The sequence below is a fragment of the Homo sapiens genome, chromosome 20 (assembly GCF_000001405.40).
Source record: "Homo sapiens chromosome 20, GRCh38.p14 Primary Assembly".
Lineage (NCBI taxonomy): Eukaryota > Metazoa > Chordata > Mammalia > Primates > Hominidae > Homo > Homo sapiens.
The window spans coordinates 35,454,801-35,470,007 of NC_000020.11; the positions used below are offsets into that span (position 1 = coordinate 35,454,801).

The following is a 15,207-nucleotide window of genomic DNA, read 5'->3' on the forward strand; positions in this document are numbered from 1 at the left end:
TGCGCAGGCGCACCTAGAACCAGGTGACCTTGCACATGCGCTGTATGTAACACTGAAGCCAAAAGCGAAATGATTGAGGGCAATTTTTCTTTTCTGCTTCCGAAATGTCCCTTTCGCGAATCCAGAGACCCTGACCGTCCCCATTTCTGGCTAGGGATCTTATAATTCTTAAAATAATACCCCCTTTCCTTCAGGGCCTCTCTAGTAAGTCGGCTGCCAATACCCAACATGGCGGGAGGCCCTGCGCCGGCTCAGTCTGCCTATAGGTGCAGGACTTGGAGGGGCGGGCCCCTCCCAAAGGGCGGGAGTTTGGGGGGGCGGGGCCTGGCCCTCTGCCTCGGGGTGGGCTCCGCCCCCGTCCCCCGCAGGGCCTTAGCAGCGGCTGCCGCAGCTCAATCGCGGAGCAACTAGCCGGGCGTCTGCGGGAGCCGAGCGTGGTGAGGTGGGGCCTCAGGGGCAGGTGGGAGGTGCTCGGGTTAACCGTCCGAGGCCCGGAGACCCGCCCGTCTAGGGCGCCTGAGGGAATCCCGTTCGGGCAGCGGCCTCTTGTTACCCGGGAGGAACCCGAGGCCCAGAGAGGGGCTGGGACGCGTCGTTAGGGCCCGGGGCCCGCTTGCCTCAGCTTCTTGCTGCCGCCAGCACGCTAAGCTCCAGTCGGCGCCGAAGGAGAGCTTCCCGACCCTCGTGTCCAGTAGCCGCAATCCCAGGCTGGGAGGGTGAGGCGCCGCGCTCTGCCGCCCCCCCGCCCCTCGCTCCCTGTGTCCTGGCGGATTTGCACGTAATCTATCCGAAAGCCCAGTCCCACCCGCCACCCGACTCTGGAGCTCCCATTCTTCAGGACCCTGCTGAAGTATCGCTTCTCAGCCGCCTTCTCCAGGCGCAGCTGCATTCGCTTCTCGGTTTTTGCACTCGCTGTGCACCGAGTTACTTTCCCGGCCCCTCGTTGACACCGTAAGCTCGTTCGTTAGATGTTATGCCTTGCCTTTTTCATCTCTAGATCCCAGGGCCTAGCACGTGATGATAATAGTCATGGCTTACTGTACGGAATGATCACAAATTGTCAGGTGCTACTGAATGCATTACACATAAGGGCCCATTTATTTATTTATTTAGAGACGGAGTTTCGCGCTTGTTGCCCAGGCTGGAGTGCAATGGCGCGATCTCGGCTCACCTCAACCTCCGCCTCCCGGGTTCAAGCGATTCTCCTGCCTCAGCCTCCCAAGTAGCTGGGATTGCAGGCATGCGCCACCACACCCGGCTAATTTTATGTTTTTAGTAGAGACGGGGTTTCTCCATGTTGGTCAGGCTGATCTCGAACTCCCGACCTCAGGTGATCCGCCCGCTTCGGCCTCCCAAAGTGCTGGGATTACAGGCGTGAGCCACCGCGCTCAGCCAAAGGCCTATTTAATCTTCCCAACAATCCTATGGGGTGAGTTCTTTCTATAGCTTCACGTTTTACCCATGAAGAAACTGAGGTATTCATAGAAAAAGTAATTTGCCAGGAGTCCCACAACTAATAAGTGGATGGAGCTGGGAAACTGTCCCCAGGGCATTTGATGACTTGACTAGATTGCCTTTGGGTTTAATCAACGTCTGTTGAATTGATCTTTACTTTGGCCCTGGGAGTTATTGGAGGCTAGGCTTGTGATCAGTATTTTACCGCGAAGGCTTAGAAAGGAGAACTGGTCCCAGATTTATAGAGGTCACAACAAAACCAAGGCTACTGGTACGCCCTCTGTTCCTTTAGTTCTTCTATCTTTCTTTGCTCCTTTTCGATCAGAAAGCTGCAGACATAGGTGTCATTATCGCTCACTATTTAAGAAGTGCCCCTCACAGAGCTGTGAGTTCGTAGTCCATGCTTTAACTAATGTAATGTTCATGCTTTAACAGCTAATGTAATGGAGAGAGTGTAGAATTTGGAATCAGATTGGGGTTCAGTCATTGCTCTGCCACTGACCAAGCTATAAGTTATATGCCTCCCCCCACTTTTTTTTTTTTTTTTGAGACCTGGTCTCAGTCACCCAGGCTGGAGTGCAGTGGTGCGATCTGGGTTCACTGGAACATCCTGTCTCCCAGGTTCAGGCGATTCTCCCGCCTCAGCCTCCTGAGTAGCTGGGATTACAGGCGCCCGCCACCGTGCCTGGCTAATTTTTGTATTTCTAGGAGAGATGGGGTTTTGCCATGTTGGCCAAGCTGGTCTCGAACTCCTGGCCTCAAATGATCTGCCCAACTCAGCCTCCCAAAGTGCTGGGATTACAGTTGTGAGCCACCACACCCAGCCTGTTTTTTTGCTTTTTATATAGGTAATAGAGCTGTTAGCATTTTGCAAGACCATTGGTGATAATATGGATCATGTTACCTAATGTCCTATAATAGTCAGTAATAATGGGCACTTGTTATAAACCAGGCTGTGTTTTAGGTAGGAGCTGGGAATACAGCATTCGATAAAACAATGCTTTTGCACTTGTGGAATTTGCATTTTGGTAAGTATATTACATAATAATTAGATAGGGACAGAAAAAGCATGGTAAGGTAAATAAAAGTACTAGTGTTATGTGGAGAGGTGATAGTATTTTATTTATTTATTTATTTGAGCATCTTGTCCCAGGCTGGAGTGCAGTGGCGTGATCACAGCTCACTGCAGCCTCGAACTCCTTGGCTCAAGCAGCCCTCCCACCTTAACTTCCCAAGTAGCTGGGACTACAGGTGAATGCCACACAGCCAGCAATTTTTTTTTTTTTAATAGAGATGGGAATCTCCCTGTGTTGCCCAGGCTGGTCTTGAACTCCTGGCCTCAAGAGATCCTCCCACCTTGGTGAAACTCTGTCTCTACTAAAAATACAAAAAAATTAGCTGGTCGTGGTGGCACATGCTTGTAATCCCAGCTACTCAGGAGGCTGAGACATGAGAATTGCCTGAACCGGGGAGGCAGAGGTTGCAGTGAGCTGAGATCATGCCAGTGCACTACAGCCTGGGTAACAGAGCCAGATCCTGTCTCAAAAACAAAACAAAACACTGGATGAGATTACCTTGGAAATTAATGGAGATGGAGAAGAGGTCTGAAGCCTTGAGGTTTCCAAACTTTAGATACTGGGGAGATGAGAAAAGGCAGCAAAGGAGACTGAGTGGGAGAGGCCAGAGGTTGGAAGAGAGCAACAGAGAGGCCCCACATGAGATTTAAATAAGGAGCTGCATGCTAATTTGTTTTTTTCAGGAGTAAGAAACAAATTATGTCTGTACACAAATGTCTATACTGTAGTTTCTTTCTCAGTAAATAAAATGTTTGTGTCCTCAAGTATTTTTCTGTTTTTGCTTTAAGTGACAAATTCTATTTAATACCATTCTGCATCTTAGTCCTTGTAGCATTTATGCCTCTATTCCAAGTTTAGGTGGTAGTGTTGCTTCTCTTTTAAACTTTATTTAAATACTCCTTTTGTAGTATTTTGGATGAGAGAGGATCAAATACATAATTTATCTCACTCTTCTGTCACTTTCCACTCCAGGTTCACAGGTGGCTGTTGGTCTTTAGTAAGGGTGCTGTCTTCCCTGTCTGATCCTTAGCAAAAGTAGGAAGGTAGGTCTTGTTCATTTCTGTACCACTGTGGCAGACTCCTGATACTGAGTTGAAATTCATGAGTGTTTATGGGATAAATTAATGTACAAAAGAAATGAATCTTTCCCTTTTTCCTGCAGTAATGATAACATTGGCTCAGTGGTTTACAGCTTAGAAGTACACTGACACTCATTATCTTATTTAGATGTAATCCAATTTGTTAGTTTGCCAGCTACTGCTCTTTTCCCTTTCTCAGGCACATTGAAATTTACTTTCCCTTTGGGGGCTCTGCTAGTTTATTCCTAGCAGATCTGATCTGGCAGTGTGTTTGTAAAAGGATGCTGAACTGTGTCTTGAGGAAGCTCAGAATGAAATCTGAATTTCAGAAAGATTCCTGAGATAATTTTTCTCTGTCTCTTCTCTTTTATTCTTGTTTTAATAAATTTTAGTTTTATGAGGATTGTTTTGGTTTTAAAAAACTTTAAATCATTTTTTAAAACTATTTTTTACAACAATTTTAGGGTTACAGAAAAATTGCATAGTACAGAGAGTTCCTGTATACCTTGCACCCAGTCTCCCCTTTTAGTATGGTATATTTGCTATAATGCAAATCTTTTTTTTTTTTTTTTTTTTTTTTTTTTGAGATGGAGCCTTGCTCTTGTCGCCCAGGCTGGACAGTGTTGGCCAGGCTGGTCTCGAACTCCTGACCTCAAGTGATCCGCCTGCCTCAGCCTCCCAAAGTGCTGGGATTACAGGTGTGAGCCACTGTGCCTGGCCATGCAAATCATTTTTTGAGATAAGTGGGGCATATAAAAATATAAACAAAATGAAGTTGCTTTATCTCTACAAGCCTCAGTTTCCTTATCTGCAAGATGAGGGGGGTGGACTAAATTTCTAAATAGCTTTAAAATTTTTTAATTATCTGCTAAAGTAAAATAATTATATAATTGTAATATAATTTTCTTTATTTGCTTAAGTATTACTAATACCACCTTGCCAAATCATGTTTGCAAGTTACTGACAGCCATATCCTAAAAGAAAACTTAATGAGAATTCATGGAACTATGTGTGGCAGGACTGCTTATTAGAGATATTAGGTTGAATGATGTGAAATTGCCATTTTTGTAGATAAAAAGTAATGAGTGAGGCTGGGCTTGGTGGCTCACACCTATAATGCCATTGCTTTGGGAGGCTTGGACCAGGGGGTGGCTGTCTGAAACCAGGAGTTCGAGACAAGCTTAGGCAACATGGCAAAACCTTGTCTCTACCAAAGAAAAAAAAAAAAAGCCTCGGTGGCACACATCTTCAGCTCCTCTGAAGGGTGAGGCTGGAGGATCCCTTCAGCCCAGGAATTTGAGGCTGCGGTGAGCTATGATTGCACCACTGTACTCCAGCCTGGGTGACAGAGCTAGATCCTTTCTCTAAAAATAATAATAATAATAGGATAATATTAGCAATTTCATATGGTTCAACCTAATGTTTTGGGATAGGGATTCAACAAAGTGTGAGGGGGCCTTTGAGACCTCATAAACTCCCACTGCATGCAAAAGCCCGGCTCAGCCCTCACCATACTAGGAGAGAAAAGGCTCCTCAGTTCCCTTGGAGTAACTTGGATCTACATTATTGTAGGTAGAGTTGTTGGCAGAAATCCTGGGATAAGAGAATAGTTTCCTGGAAGATCTGTGCCTCCAACCAGCAGAGAGGGATTGAGCTTCATTGAACTCAACAGAGCCAACATTTCATAGCACCATGGTGAGTTGGTCACACAGCCTTGGCAAAAAGGCTGAAAAGGAGGGTGTAATAGTATGGGGAAAGGTTGTATTCCCCTGGTTCGTAGGCTAGGAAGAGGCCTGGAGTACTGGTGCCACCAAACCTTTATTGGTGCCATTCTATTCTCCCTACTTTATGCACTTTCCTTACTGCCTAGTACAGGCTCTGCAAACTCAAGTATCTTCGGTTGTTCAGGAGGTAATGTAAATTAGTAAGCCGAGTTTTCCTCTTTAATGCTACTATAACAGAAACAATAGCACAGTTGCAATGATAAATGACAACTGAAATATGCTATCATTGTGAGGGAGAGAATCGGTGTGTGCATAGGGGAGGCCATGATGAACTGGAGAGCACATGCCCTGTCTAAAGGGGGCAGGCACTATACAACTGTGCAGAGCACACGCCCTGTCTAAAGGAGACAGGCGCTGTTCAACTGCACGGAGCGCGTGCCCTGTCTAAACGGGCAGGCACTATTCAACTGTGCAGCTGGTTGTTGCCTTATTGAAATATGGGTCAAGCATCACTGGGTATTCTGATTTTCCAAAGGAGCCAGAAATATGGATTTTATGTACATTCTCCCAATGATAAATGTTGGCACCTAATTTGAATTCTTAAAAACTATTATGTGGGCCACACAATGGCTGAAAAGAGCTAGCAGGGCACTGATTTGTCATCTCTGGCTTATGGCTTAGCTCTGCCAGGAGTGAGGCTCACATGCATTTCTTCACTGGACATTGTTGACAAGTTACAATTAAAATGAATTAGACAGCTCCTGCCTTTGAGGTACTCATGGATTAGCAGAGAAAATAGACAAGTAATGATGATAAGATGTAGAGTAGACATCAGAACATATGTATTCTCTCTGTGTATATAGCTATAAAAGTGACTAACTCTTCCTGGGTTCATCTGGGAGGACATGATAGGACGTGGCATTTGAGCCAGGATGTGGGAAATCAATAGTTTGGTGCATTAAAGGGATTTGGGGCCCTTGAAATTTCTACTGTATGTGCAAATGTTAGGTTTGCATTCGCTGTATATACCATTTTGTTGATAGGTAGTTGAAAATACGGATATTCCTTAGCCCTGCTGGTGAGAGTCTTAGGGTTAATAAAATGAGAGAACTCTTCCTCTGGCCCAGGTTATGGGATAATTGTGTGTTTTAGAGGCCTAAGTAACTCAGAGGTCATGATACCCTCATTTCTGGATGAGGGAAGTAGCACATCTGAGGTCACAGAGCCCATTGGAGGCAGAGCTTGGACTAACACCCAGAACTCTTTACCACCATGCCTTCCCCTGTCCTGGGTATCTCTGATGAAGGTCACCGTTAGGCTGGCCGCCTCTGCCTGTGGTGGCCCATTGCCCTGTTTTGGCCCAGCTCCTGGTGGGTGAGGGGGTTTGGCCATCCTGCTGCCACTGGTTCCTTCTCTCTTTTGGATCCTTTGCCTGAAATGCCTGCTACCCCTTTTCTTTGTCAGATAGACTACTTGTGTTCAAATCTCTCTCAACCATATGCCAGCTGTGTGGCCTGGCACAAGTTTTTTAACCTTTCTAAGCCCCAGTTTCCTCATCTATATATAAAGAGTTATAATAGTACGTTTGGTGAAGTGTAATGAGAAGGCATTGGAAGGTTTCAAGATTTTTGTAAAAACAAAATGACGTAATGCATGTAAAGCACTTAAAGCAACAGCCCTCCAGAAGCACTCAGCAAGTGTTAACAATGATGATGATGATTCACACAGTTCACAGGCTCCCAGGCTGGGTTCTCTTCCTTTGTTTTCTCATATTATCTTATTATTTCACATGCTACATTGTATGTATTGTAATAGTTTGTGTCTATTTCCCCTGCTAGACTAAGAACACCTTCAGCGATTCATTCAACAAATGTTTCTGAACCACTGTGCCAGGAACTAAGGATGCAGTGATAAACCAGGAGCTCTTGGTTTAGTGCAGAGTTCCAAAAGTCATGCCAGGAGACACTAGTCCTGTGAGCTTGTCTCATGGTCAGTTAAATTTGGGGAATGATGCTCATCATAGCGCCCTTCAGAGATGAGGGTCCCTTTTAGTATTTTAAAGGTTCTGAGGAGTCTTGTGTGTAGTAAAAGAACAGTCCTTTCCATTTGACTATGTGCTTTGGTCCCCAGTTCAAGAGGAGGTTGAAGTGGCATGGCAATGGTTAGAGACCCTGCTGGGCGTGAACACCCTCTGGCTACCTAGGGACCTGTGGGCCTACCACCTGGTGCCCTCATGGAGACAAGAAGCCCTGGGTTGAACAACATGAAGCCCCAGTCACTGCAGCTGGTACTGGAAGAGCAGGTGCTGGCACTACAGCAGCAGATGGCAGAGAATCAGGCAGCCTCCTGGCGGAAGCTGAAGAACTCCCAGGAGGCCCAGCAGAGACAAGCAACCCTTGTGAGGAAGCTGCAGGCCAAGGTGAGGCAGCTGCCCTTTTGGGGAGGGGAAAGAGAACAACCCCCAGAGCTAGGTGCTGAGGTGAGATAAGGGTTGCAGGAGGCAGAGTCTTGTGGTGGGAGTGGCCTACATCTAGCATGGTGAGATAAGACCCAGACCTTCTAGCTTTCATGTACAGCTTCTCTTTTGATGCTCACAACTGCTCCATGAGGTACGTATTATATCCTTTTAATTTAATTTTATTTTTGAGATAGGGTTTTGCTCTGTTGCCCAGGCTAGAGTGCAGTGGTATGATCACAGATCGCTGCAGCCTCAACCTCCTGGGCTCAGGCAGTCCTCCTGCCTCAGCCTCTGGAGTATCTGGGACCACAGGTGTACACCACCACTTTTGGCTAATATATCTCTTTAAAGATGAAATTCACAAGGGTTAAGTTAATTATCCAGGTTTCTTCAGCTAGTCTAGAGCCAAAGCCCATGATCTTGCCTCTGTGATATAAAAGGCATATAGAAAGTATTTATTTATTTATTTATTTATTTTTGAGACAGAGTCTCGCTCATATAGAAAGTATTATTTAAATGCCCAAATAAGGCCAGGCACGGTGGCCCATGCCTGTAATCCCAGAATTTTGGGAGGCCGAGGCAGGTGTATCACCTGAGGTCAGGAGTTTGAGACCAGCCTGGCCAACATGGCAAAACCCTGTCTCTACTAAAAATACAAAAATTAGCTGAGTGTGGTGGCGCATGCCTGTAATCCCAGCTACTCGGGAGGCTGAGTTAGAAGAATCACTTCAATCTGGGAAGCGGAGGTTGCAGTGAGCCAAGATTGTGCCACTGCACTCCAGCCTGGGACACAGAGCGAGACTCCATCTCAAAAAAGAAAAAAATGCCCAAATAGAAACTATAAGATGTTATGGCCTTACCTTACTGTCACCACCCATTTCCCCTGTTCATAGCAAGTTTGCCTAAGATCCTCAGGGGCCTTTGCTTTGGGCTGTTTGTGCCAGCTGTGTTCATTGCCCAGGGCCTGTTCTTTTTGCTGCAGGTGCTGCAGTACCGAAGCTGGTGCCAAGAGCTGGAGAAGCGGCTAGAAGCCACTGGAGTGAGTGAGGCTGAGCTCTCTGCACCCCCTGGGTCCTCAGTGAATATACTTGTTAGGTTTCATTTGTTGACTGAGGGAGGTTGGAGTGTACAAGTGAGGTGTTTGGTGGAAGGCTCTCTTTCTCAGCCTCTGAGAGGTTTATCACACTGATATCTTCATTGGACCTAGCTGGCCTGTCAGATTCCAACCCTTGGTTTTCAAAGGACGAAATGTAAATTAGATTGGAAGGAGTGTGGGATTAGCAGGAAGAAGTGCATGTTTCCTCCAGCAGGTGTCAGTGTTTCTTTTAGAAAGATGCAGGCCTTTGCGAGCCTACAGCATGTCTGCAGCAAAGGGATGTCTGTGCTATTAGAACTGGCTTTGAAAAACCCATTTATTTGCCTTTGTTCCAGCTGCCTCTCAGTACCTCCTCACATTTTCCTCAGAAAAGTTCTCTCAGAGGAAGGAAAGAACCAAAACTTATTGAGCACCCTCAATGCAGTCCAGGCAGCATGAGGCACTGTCATATACAGATGGTCCTCCCCAACTTAGGATGGTTGCAAGTTTTCAACTTTATGATGATGTGAAAGCTATATGCATTCAGTATGTTCCTTGGGTTATGATGGGGTTACAGCTGGATAAACCCATTGTTTGGGGTTGTTTTGCTTGCTTGTTTGGTTGGTTTTTGTTTGTTTGGTTGGTTGGTTGTTTTGAGACAGGGTCCTACTTACTCTGTCGCCCAGGCTGGAGTGGACTGGTGCAGTCATGAGTCACTGCAGCCTCAGCCTCCTGGGCTTAAGCGATCATCCCACCTCAGCCTCCCAAAAAGTAGCTGGGACTACAGATACATGCCTCAACATCTGGCTAATTTTCTTTATTTTCTGTAGACACAGGGTCTCTCTATGTTGCCCAGGCTGGTCTCAAATTCTTAGACTCAAGCAATCCTCCCACTGCTGGGATTACAAGTGTGAGCCACTGCATCTGGCCCGAACTCACTGTTAAGTTGAAAATATCATAAGTTGAAAATGTCAGCCAGGCGCAGTGGCTCATGCCTGTAATCCCAGCACTTTGGGAGGTCATGGTGGGTGGGTCACAAGGTCAGGGGTTCAAGACCAACCTGGCCAGCATGGTGAAACCCCATCTCTACTAAAAATACAAAAAATTAGCCGGGCATGATGGTGCGTGCCTGTAATCCCAGCTACTCGGGAGGCTGAGGCAGGAGAATCACTTGAACCCAGGAGGCAGAGGTTGCAGTGAGCCGAGATCATGCCACTGCACTCCAGCCTGGGCAACAGAACTAGACTGTCTCAAAAAGAAAAGAAAAAAAGAAAACGTCGTAAGTTGAAAACACACCTTTAACTTATGTTCAACTTATGATGGATTTATGGGATGAAATTCCAGCATAAGTCAAGGAGCATCTATAATTGTGTCTCTTAACCTGCACAGCAACTTTCTGAAGGGAACGATATACCGCTTTCATTTTGTAGCTGGAGACACTGTAGCTCCAAGAAGTTAAGTGACTTCACAGGCTGGGTGTGGTGGCTCATGCCTGTAACCCCAGCACTTTGGGAGGCTGAGGTGGGTGGATCACTTGAGGCCAGGAATTCAAGAACAGCCTGGCCAACATGGCGAAACCCCATCTCTACTAAAACTACAAAAATTATCCAGGTGTGGTGGCAGGTGCCTATAATCCCAACTACTTGGGAGGCTAAGGCAGGAGAATCACTTGAACCTGGGAGGCGGTGGTTGCAGTGAGCTGAGATTGTGCCATTGCACTCCAGCCTGGGCGACAGAGCGAGACTCTGTCTCCAAAAAAAAAAAAAAAAAAAATGAAAGAAGTTAAGTCACTTCCCAAGGTCAAACCGTTAGTGTAGTGGAAGTTAAGGCCATTAGTGAAAGATACATCACTTCTTAAGTTGAAGATTCTATTTACTACTGAAGGCCGTCTTTCAGGAGAGGTCATCAGTTTACTTTTGGAGTGAGGGATGCAGTGATTGAGAATAGAAGCATATTGCTAACAAAGGGGAGAAAGAATAAAAAGAAAGTGGACTGCCATGGAAGGGAGCCTTAGGGAACTGGTCTGAGTGATGTTCTCTTTGGAGGTAAGTAAGGCTTGTCTCTGTCTGGCGCAGGGACCAATCCCCCAGAGGTGGGAAAATGTGGAGGAGCCAAACCTGGATGAGCTGCTGGTCCGATTGGAGGAGGAGCAACAGAGGTGATGGACCCCAAACTTTCTGACCTGGGTGATTGGCCAGTTGGTGGAGAAGGCTGATGGGAAACTTCTGCCCTGAGGGCTAATGTGGACTTCAGCCATAGCCCTCTAATTCCTGCAATGGAAAATTTCAGTGGTTGCCATCTTACTCCCAGGAGGTCCAAGGGTTGGACTAGACCTTTATTTTGCACCCACTTTTACCCCTCCCCAGTGCAGGTGTGAGAGTCTAGCAGAGGTGAACACCCAGCTTCGACTGCACATGGAAAAAGCTGACGTGGTGAATAAAGCCCTTAGGGAAGATGTGGAAAAACTGACAGTGGACTGGAGCCGGGCCCGGGATGAGCTAATGAGGAAGGAGAGCCAGTGGCAGATGGAGCAGGAGGTAGGAAGAACGGGGACTGGAACTGTGAGAGGAAGCCTGTGTATTCTGGATGCTGCCCTGGTCAGTACTGGAAGGAGTTAACTTCAGGACTTGGATGAAAACTGAGCTGTTGCTGTTAAAGTCCCTGACCATCCTTACCTGCGCATGCTGGCAGCCTCAGCCTTCTTGGGCCTTCAGCTTAGACCTGCCACTACCCGCCTAGTCTAGGTTCTGCTGGGAGGTAGCATGACACTCAGAGCAACTCTGTTCCTGCAGCAGTGACGAGCTTAGGTTTTTGATGGATCTGAAAGCTTACTGATTCCTGGTCTGGAGGTCTTGCATATCTAGATGCTAAGGAGGTAGATATGAAACTGAATGGGAAAGAAAGAGCTGTTATGGGCCCTGGGGAATTTTCAGGTCCCAGCTGAAGGAAACAAATGTTTCCTGCATTTTTGCTTTGTGCTCAGTGGTTTATGTATATCATTGACTCCTCCTTAGAAAAGTCTGTGGTAATAGATCCCATTTGTTAAGCAGCTACCGTGTATCCTTTTCTAATCTGGCCCAGAGGAAGGCGATATACCATCCTAGGCCCTCTGACCTCTCGAATCCCACTGCCAGCTTTATTAAGCCCTTCACCATAACCTGGATAGATACCCATTCATAAACTATCTCCTGTAAGTCCCTCCTTCCTTCCCTCAGTAGTCAGGAGGAATCCAAGACTCTTGTGTTGGCAAAAGATAGCCCTCTGCCTTTGGGTATGACCTGGGTTTCTGAACACACAGTTCTTCAAGGGCTACCTGAAAGGGGAGCACGGTCGCCTTCTCAGTCTATGGCGGGAGGTTGTGACATTCCGACGCCACTTCCTGGAAATGAAGTCAGCTACTGACAGGTCAGTGTGGGGAGAAGAAGGGAGGAGGTTTGCCCCTACCAATTCTGGACTAATAACAGTGGGCTGCTATAGAAGCGGGATCAGCTGTGGGGGTGGGGTGGGTGGGGGAGTTGGTAGTATTGGAAGCAGATGATTTTTCCCAGCCCTGCTCCTCAGGCTTCACTGGGCCTGATCACCACACTCCTTCCCTGGTTCCTAGTGGAGTCTGCTGTTTTCCTTGCTTGTACTCAGAGATCTGATGGAGCTAAAAGCTGAGCATGTGAGGCTTTCAGGGTCTCTGTTGACCTGTTGTCTGCGCTTGACTGTGGGAGCACAGTCTCGGGAACCCAACGGATCTGGAAGAATGGATGGGCGGGAGCCGGCCCAGCTGCTGCTGCTACTAGCCAAGACCCAGGAGCTGGAGAAGGAAGCCCATGAAAGGAGCCAGGAGTTAATACAGCTGAAGAGTCAAGGGGATCTGGAGAAGGCTGAACTTCAGGACCGGTGAGATGGCCTGGGGTCCCAAGAAGGGTTCGCTGAGAGAGAGCTGACTCCTTTAGAGGGTTAGGGACAGGCAGGGGGAGGTGCCAGGAACATTCCTACCATGGAGGGGGAGAAGATGTGCCCAAGGAAATCTACTTTGAAACCTGATGCCACAGTTGGGGCTTGTACTGACCTCTGCCCTCAGCCTGTCTTTTAGCCCAGTTTCTTTCCTGTTGATTTATGGAGCTAGCTATGACTCCATCCTCCATCAACACCAAAGTGCTTGCCATTCCCAGAACAGCCAAGCTCTTCCCCCTCCCTGTCTTTGTACCTGCTGAATTTAGTCTGGAATGCCTCCCTCCCTTCTCTCTCTGCCTTATCCTCTAAGACATAGTTCAAATATTACCTCTTTTTTTTTTTTTTTTTTTTGAGACGGAGTCTCATTCTATCGCCCAGGCTGGAGAGCAGTGGCATGATCTTGCCTACTGCAACCTCTGCCTCCTGGGTTCAAGTGACTCCCCTGCCTCAGCCTCCCAAGTACCTGGGACTGTTTACAGGCACATGCCACCATACCCAGCTAATGTTTGTATTTTTAGTAGAGACAGGGTTTCACCATGTTGGTCAGGCTGGTCTCAAACTCCTGACCTCAAGTGATCCACCTGCCTCAGCCTCCCAAAGTGTTGGGATTACAAGCGTGAGCCACTGCAACTCGCCGAAATGTCACCTCTTCTATGAAGCCTTCTCTGACCTCAGTAGCCTGCTAAGTTACTGTGCCCTTGTAGTCTTTTGACCTCTTATTACAGCATTGATCTCACTGATGATTTAGTTTCCCCTACCTTCTTTTTTTGGTGAGGCTGTTTTACTTTTTGGATTATAATGAAGTAGGTTTTTAAAAAATAATGACATAGAAGGGCAGGGAAATGAGCAGAGAGCCCCATTGAATCTCAGGACAAAGTTCATATATGCCCATGACGAGGGTTGTATCTTCACCTGTTGGAGGTACATACATAAAATGCAGGGCTATTTTGTTTTGTTTTTGCTTTTGGAGGCACTGAGAAGTACAAAAGCAGGCCATGTCTTCGTAAGTTTTTATTTCTAGTACTTTGTACTTCACCTGCCGTATACTAGACACTCAATACATTTTGTTTCTTTGTTTTTTGAGACAGAGTCTAGCTCTGTTGCCCAGGCTGGAGTGCAGTAGTGTAAACACAGCTCACCGCAGCCTTAACCTCCTGGGCTGAAGCAATTCTCTTGCCTCAGCCTCCAAAGTAGCTGGGATTACAGGCACGCACCACTATGCCTGGCTAACTTTTTAATTTTTTTGTAGAGACGGGGTCTCACTATGTTTCCCAGGCCGGTCTGGAACTCCTGAGCTCAAGCAGTCTTTCCACCTTGGCCTCCCAAAGTTCTAGGATTACCGGTTGAGCCACCGTGGCTGGCCAGTGAATGTTTGTTGAGTGATGCAATACTTAAACAAATGACCATACAGTGTGTTAAGGTTCTTAGAGATGGTATAGAATAAAATTATTAAGACTTTTGCTGAGTGAGGAGGATCACTTGAGCCCAGGAGTTTGAGACCAGCCTGGACAACATAGTGAGACCTTGTCTCTACTAAAAGTAAAAATAAAAAAAGAATAGCCATGTGGTGGCATGCACCTATAATTCTAGCTACTTGGGAAGCTGAGGCAGGAGGATTGCTTGAGAGTGAGCTATGATTGCACCACTGTATTCCAGCCTGGGCAACAGAGCAAGACCCTGTCTCAAAAAAAAAATTGGAAAAAAATTTAAACTTTTAGATAGCATTCATTCAAGAAATATTTATTTAGCCACTCACATAATAGCAAGCAGTAAGCTCTAAGATATAGTGTTAAGTGTTTGGTGATTTTGCTGGACTTTGAGATTAATATCAAGAAGGTTGAACATAATCTTCCCCAAATTGCCCTTCCTTTTTCCCTATCAGAGTCAGAACCTCGGGCTGGAGGGACCTTGGGACTATCCCAAGTGCAATTCTGATGTTCTTATTGGCTTCAGGGTGCTTGACTTCAAGATCAAGCGAGGCCTGGAAGGGCCTGGGCCAGGGCTTTCCTTCAGCTCTTGGGCCCCCAAACACGTGTTCCAGCCTTGAGATGTGGTAAATCCCTGCATGTGTCTGAGTGGTTTTTTGCTTCCCCACTTCAAGGCTATAGCATCATGTGGTATTCAGGGAGTGCAGACGGGCTGGGGGTGCCTAAGGGATTTGGGGGAGGCTGCAGTTGGGAGTGGTTGGGGTTGGGGCTGGGGCTGGGGTGTGCTGCATCGTAGCTCTGTCCACATCCATGGGCTGTTCTGGTGACAGTGCTATGCTCTTCTCTTTAGGGTGACCGAGCTCTCTGCTCTGTTGACCCAGTCTCAGAAGCAAAATGAAGATTATGAAAAGATGATAAAGGCTCTGAGAGAGACAGTGGAGATCCTGGTACATGATCCTTTGCTCTGG

The 15,207-nt window shown here is 46.9% G+C and overlaps 1 protein-coding gene across 25 annotated transcripts in view, besides 3 other annotated features; it reads left to right on the plus strand.

Moving 5' to 3' along the window:
* Positions 43-192: an enhancer, noted in NCBI's record as "active region_17784". NCBI's record gives its function as "activates an Ori minimal core promoter by ATAC-STARR-seq in GM12878 lymphoblastoid cells {active_cell/tissue: GM12878}" and the evidence as "EXISTENCE:reporter gene assay evidence [ECO:0000049][PMID:35858748]".
* Positions 213-592: a silencer, noted in NCBI's record as "silent region_12858". NCBI's record gives its function as "represses an Ori minimal core promoter by ATAC-STARR-seq in GM12878 lymphoblastoid cells {active_cell/tissue: GM12878}" and the evidence as "EXISTENCE:reporter gene assay evidence [ECO:0000049][PMID:35858748]".
* CEP250 (centrosomal protein 250) overlaps positions 365-15,207 on the plus strand; it is a 64,116-nt gene continuing 49,273 nt past the window's right edge. For 7 of the 25 annotated variants that reach the window (XM_005260262.5, XM_005260264.5, XM_047439862.1 and 4 more), the window contains exons 1-10: positions 365-442; positions 3,504-3,574; positions 5,183-5,305; positions 7,465-7,753; positions 8,775-8,831; positions 10,943-11,025; positions 11,239-11,404; positions 12,166-12,272; positions 12,504-12,755; positions 15,090-15,186. In XM_005260262.5, coding sequence (XP_005260319.1) covers positions 7,568-7,753; positions 8,775-8,831; positions 10,943-11,025; positions 11,239-11,404; positions 12,166-12,272; positions 12,504-12,755; positions 15,090-15,186 — 948 coding nt within the window. In that variant the 5' untranslated portion in view covers positions 365-442; positions 3,504-3,574; positions 5,183-5,305; positions 7,465-7,567. 25 annotated transcript variants of the gene reach the window in all.
* Positions 9,018-9,197: a silencer, noted in NCBI's record as "silent region_12859". NCBI's record gives its function as "represses an Ori minimal core promoter by ATAC-STARR-seq in GM12878 lymphoblastoid cells {active_cell/tissue: GM12878}" and the evidence as "EXISTENCE:reporter gene assay evidence [ECO:0000049][PMID:35858748]".